This window comes from Homo sapiens, chromosome 22 (assembly GCF_000001405.40).
Source record: "Homo sapiens chromosome 22, GRCh38.p14 Primary Assembly".
NCBI lineage: Eukaryota > Metazoa > Chordata > Mammalia > Primates > Hominidae > Homo > Homo sapiens.
In genome coordinates, this window is record NC_000022.11 from 21518972 (window position 1) to 21524971 (window position 6000).

The window sequence follows — 6000 nt, forward strand, 5'->3', positions numbered from 1 at the left end:
CGCCTGTAATCCCAGCACTTTGGGAGGCCAAGGCGGGCGGATCACGAGGTCAGGAGATCGAGACCATCCTGGCTAACACGGTGACACCCCGTCTGTACTAAAAATACAAAAAATTAGCCAGGCGAGGTGGCGGGCGCTTGTAGTCCCAGCTACTCGGGAGGCTGAGGCAGGAGAATGGCGTGAACCCCGGGGGGCGGAGCCTGCAGTGAGCCGAGATCGTGCCACTGCACTCCAACCTGGGCGACAGCGAGACTCCGTCTCAAAAAAATAAATAAATAAATAAAATAAAACTATAAGAAGCTGGGTTTTCTCCTAAACAAATTAAAAATCAGTTTCAAGTGATAACCTTCAAACACAAGGTCTGATAGGTAATCACTCTCATATACTTTTGGAAGCACATAAATCACCTCAAAATTCCTGGACATGAGTTTGGCGGTATGAGCCAAAAGTTGTTTTTTTGGGGTTCTTTTGTCTTTTTTTGTTTTTTGGAGACTCGGAGTCTCACTCTGTTGCCCAGGCTGGAGTGTAGCCTCAAACTCCTGGGATCAAGTGATCCTCCTGCCTTCCAAAGTGCTGGGATTACAGGCATAAGCCAACGCACCTGGCCCCAAAAATATTTTAAAATAATTATACCCTCTCAGACCAGTATTCCAGGATTCTGTTCTGGGGAAATTAGCCACGTTTGCAGACCACGTACTTATTATCTGTCTCTCTACCCATAAGTAAGTTTGTACCTGTAAGTTTGGAACCCATGCCTAGGAGCACACCTGAGACAACAGGCATTCCACGGTCCCTTGTTTCATCTGCATTTGAAAACTAATGTGGCTGGCTCATGCCTGTAATCCCAACACTTTGGGAGGCCAAGGCCGGCAGATCGCCTGAGGTCAGGACTTTGAGACCACCCTGGCCAACATGGTGAAACCCCGTCTCTACTAAAAATACAAAAATTAGCCGGATATCGAGGTGCATGCCTGTAGTCCCAATTACTCGGGAGGCTGAGACAGGAGAATTGCTTGAATCTGGGAGGCTGAGGTTGCAGTGAGCTGAGATCATGCCATGACACTCCAGCCTGGGCAACAGAGGGAGACTCGGTCTCAAAAAACAACAAAAAAGATAACTAATATATGATAATATTTTTTAAGTGTCATGTATAATAGTGAAAGAAAGCATATACAGGCGGTGGCTCACGCCTGTAATCCCAGCACTTTGGGAGGCTGAGGCGGGAGGATCACCTGAGGTCAGGAGTTTGAGACCAGCCTGGCCAACATGGTAAAACCCCGTCTCTACTGAAAATACAAAATTAGCTGGGCATGGTGGCGTATGCCTGTAATCCCAGCTACTTGGGAGGCTGAGGCAGGAGAATTGCTTGAACTCCAGAGGCGGAGGTTGCAGTGAGCTGAGATCCTGCCATTGCACTCCAGCCTGGGCAACAGAGCAAGACTCCGTATCAAAAAAAAAAAAAAGAAAAAAGCATATACAAATTTCTCACAATGGGGTTAAATAGTCCACATAATGGAATGTAGATTAGGCCAGGAGTAGTGGCTCATGCCTGTAATCCCAACACTTTGGGAGGCCGAGGCGGGCAGATCACCTGAGGTCGGGAGTTCGAGACCAGCCTGACCATTATGGTGAAACCCCGTCCCTACTAAAAATACGAAAAGTTAGCTGGGCGTGATTGCGCATGCCTGTAATCCCAGCTACTCGGGAGGCTGAGGTAGGAGACTTGCTTGAACCCGGGAGGCGGAGATTGCGGTGAGCTGAGATCGCACCATTGCACTCCAGCCTGGGCAACAAAAGTGAAACTCCGTCTCAAAAAAAAAATTAGCCAAGCATGGTGTCACATGCCTGTAGTCCCAGCCACTCAGCAGGCTGAGGCGCAGCACGAGAGTTGCTTGAACCTGGGAGGCAGAGGTTGCAGTGAGCCGAGGTGGTGCCGCTGCACTCCAGCCTGGGCGACAGAGTGGGACTCCATTTTAAAAAAATAAATAGGCCAGGCGCGGTGGCTCACGCCTGTAATCCCAGCACTTTGGGAGGCCCAGGCAGGTGGATCACGAGGTGAGGAGTTCAACACCAGCCTGGCCAAGATGGTGAAACCCCGTCTCTACTAAAAATACAAAAATTAGCCAGGCATGGTGACGGGCACCTGTAATCCCAGCTATTCGGGGGGCTGAGGCAGAGAATCGCTTGAACTCAGGAGGCGGAGGTTGCAGTGAGCCCAGATCACACCACTGCACTCCAGTCTGGGCGACAGAGTGAGACTCGGTCTCAGAAAATAAATAAATAAATTAATTAATTAAATTAATAGGATGGGCACGGTGGCTCACTCCTGTAATCCCAGCACTTTGGGAGGCCGAGGCGGGTGGATCACCCAAGGTCAGAAGTTTGAGACCAGCCTGGCCAACATGGTAAAACCCCGTCTCTACTAAAAATACAAGATTAGCCAGGCATGGTGACGTATGCCTGTAATCCCAGCTACTTGGGAGGCTGAGGCAGGAGAATTGCTTGAACTCCAGAGGCGGAGGTTGCAGTGAGCTGAGATCCTGCCATTGCACTCCAGCCTGGGTGACAAGAGTGAAACTCCGTCTCTAATAATAATAATAATAATAATAATAATAAATAAGTAAATTTTTAATTAAAAAATAAAATTTTTATTTATTTATTTATTTATTTTTTGAGACAGAGTCTCACTCTGTCATCCAGGCTGGAGTGCAGTGGCATCATCTCAGCTTGCTGCAACCTCTGCCTCCCAGGTTCAAGCAATTCTCTGCCTCAGCCTCCTGAGTAGCTGGGATTATAGGCACCCACCACCACACCCAGCTAATTTTTGTATTTTTACAAGAGGCTGGTCTGGACCTCTTGACCTCATGATCTACCCGCGTCGGCCTCCCAAAGTGCTGGGATTACAGGCGTGAGCCACTGCGCCCAGCCAAAAATAATTAAAAAAAAAAAAAAAAGAAGAGGCCAGGTGCAGTGGCTCACGCCTGTAATCCCAGCACTTTGGAAGACTGAGGCAGGAGGATCACTTGAGGTCAGGAGTTCGATACCAGCCTGGCCAACATGGTGAAACCCCATCTCTACTAAAAATACACACAAAAATATTAGCCAGGCATGGTGGCACACCCCTGTAGTCCCAGCTACTCGGGGGACTGAGGCAGGAGGATCACTTGAACCCAGGAGGTGGACGTTTCAGTGAACCAAAATCACACCACTGCACACTCCAGCCTGGTCAACAGAGCTAGACCCTGTCTTAAAAAAAATTGTATTTTTTGTACAAAAAAATTAGCCGGGCCTGGTGGCAGATGCCTGTAGTCCCAGCTACTCAGGAGGCTGAGGCAGGAGAATGGCGTGAAAACCTGGGAGGCGGAGCTTGCAGTGAGCCAAGATCACGCCACTGCACTCCAGCCTGGGCGACAGAGCGAGATTCCGCCTCAAAAAAAAATTTTTTTTTTAATTGCATTTTTTAAATGCATGCAAAAATATTGATATATGGAAAAGCAACTGAAGAAAATAAATCAAAAATATTTACGGAGGTTCTCTCTGGAAGTTGGGAATTTTTTTTTCTACACATGTATACTTTAGCGTGTGTGTTATTTTTATTTTATGAAAGTAACATTTCTAATCGGAACAATTCTAGAGATGCTGAAGCACATTTTATTTTTATTTTATTATTTATTTTTGAGACAGAGTCTAGCTCTGTTGCCCAGGCTGGAGCACAGTGGCGTGATTATGGCCCACTGCAGCCTCCACTTCCTAGGCTCAAGTGATTCTCCCAGCTGGGACTACAGGCATGCACCACCACACCCGGCTAATTTTTTATTTTCTGTAGAGACAGGGTCTCACTATGCTTCCCAGGCTGATCTCAAACTCCCAGACTCAAGCAATTCTCCCACCTCAGCCTCCCAAAGTGCTGGGATTACAAGCATGAGACACCATGCCCGGTAATTTTTTTTTTTTTTTTTTGTGCAGATGGAGTCTCGCGCTGTCACCCAGGCTGGAGTGCAGAGGCGCAATCTCCGTTCATTGCAACCTCCGGCTCCCGGGTTCAAGCGATTCTCCTGCCTCGGCCTCCCAAGTAGCTGGGATTACAAGTGAGCACCGCCACACCAAGCTAATTTTTGTAGTTTTAGTAGAGATGGGGTTTCACCATGTTGCCAGGGTTGTCTCGATCTATTGACCTCGTGATCTGCCCACCTCGGCCTCCCAAAGTGCTGGGATTACCGGCGTGGGCCACCGTGCCCAGCCCATGCCCAGCAATTTTTTAAAGTTAAATTCTCCCTCCTCCTCCACCCTAATCAGTCCTTTCTGAAGTAACATTAACAGTTTAACTCTCTTCTCTGACATCAATATGTATCTACTCACCTTACAAAAAAGATCCTACTATTTTGAAATCATAGACATTTTTCTAGTTCATTTCCATAATTCATTCTTTTTTTTTTTTTTCATGTCAGACGGGTAATGTGCCTATGTCGTAACAAGATTTGAAGGTGGCGGCCGGGCGCGGTGGCTCACGCCTGTAATCGCAGCACTTTGGGAGGCCAAGGCGGGCGGATCACGAGTTCAGGAGATTGAGACCATCCTGGCTAACACAGTGAAACCCCATCTCTACTGAAAATACAAAAAAATTAGCCGGGCGTGGTGGCGGGTGCCTGTAGTCCCAGCTACTCAGGAGGCTGAGGCAGGAGAATGGCATGAACCCGGGAGGCGGAGCTTGCAGTGAGCCAAGATCGCGCCACTGCACTCCAGCCTGGGTGACGGAGCAAGACTCCCTCTTAAAAAAAAAAAAAAAAATATTTGAAGGTGGCACATCTTACATGGGAACGTGTGTGAACACATAATCATCATGCTTATGAACTACAAAAGGATCATAATTCATTCTTTAAGAGCTGACAAATGTTCCAGAGTATGGAGCTTCTGTAATTTATTCACACTTCGTTAACCATGGTTGTTCAGTTTATTTACAGTGTGGTGCTTTTTGTTTTCTTTTTTCTTTGTTTTTTTTTTTTTTTTTTTTTTTTTTTTTTGAGATGGAGTCTTGCTCCTGTCACCCAGGCTAGAGTGCAATGGCACAATCTTTGCTCACTGCAACCTCCACCTCCCGGGTTCAAGCAATTCTCCTGCCTCGGCCTCCTAAGTAGCTGGGATTACAGGTATCTGCCACCATGCCTGGCTAATTTTTGTATTTTTCGTAGAGACGGGGTTTCACCATGTTGGCCAGGCTGGTCTTGAACTCCTGACCTCAAGTGATCCACCCGCCTCAGCCTCCCTAAATGCTGGGATTACAGGTGTGAGCCACCGCACCCAGCCTACACTGTGGTGCTATTAAAAAATATTTTTAGGCTGGGCACAGTGGCTCACACCTCTAATCCCAGCACTTTGGGAGGCCGAGGCAGGTGGATCACTTGAGGCCAGGAGTTTGAGACCAGCCTGGTGATCATGAAGAAACCCTGTCTCTACTAAAATATTAGCCAGGCATGGTGTCACATACGGATAATCCCAGCTACTCGGGAGTCTGAGGTGGGAGAATCACTTGAACTAGGGAGGCAGACGTTGCAGTGAGTTGAGATCATGCCACTGCACCCCAGGCTGGACAACAGAGCGAGACCTCGTCTTAAAGTAATTAATTAATTAATTAATTAATATAAATAAAATAGCAGATTTCAAAAATTTGTTCTCCCTGGCAGCAACCCAGTAAAGCTAGATCTGGGCGGAAGGTAATATGGAAATATAAAAACTACAGATTAGCAGGGATGGGAAGACCCGCCAGAAATGGGTTCATTTTGTGTCCTCACTCCCTCCGGATTCTCTGTGTGTCTAGTCCAAGATCTAACCACTATGATCTGCTTTCCTCATCCATTTGGGAATCAGGGCACCACCCCCTTGGGAGGCTTGAATGACAGGAGGTTGAGCAGGCAGAGCACGGAACTCAGGCTCTGGTGAGCCCTGGTACAGTGACTATGATTGTTGTGTCATGTAGGAAGGGTCTGTTATTTTACCATTATC

At 47.4% G+C, this 6000-nt stretch overlaps 1 pseudogene; it reads right to left on the reverse strand.

The window, feature by feature from the left end:
• Positions 1-4780: 4780 nt before the first annotated feature.
• On the reverse strand, positions 4781-4863 carry LOC124905165 (uncharacterized; annotated as a pseudogene).
• Positions 4864-6000: the final 1137 nt, after the last annotated feature.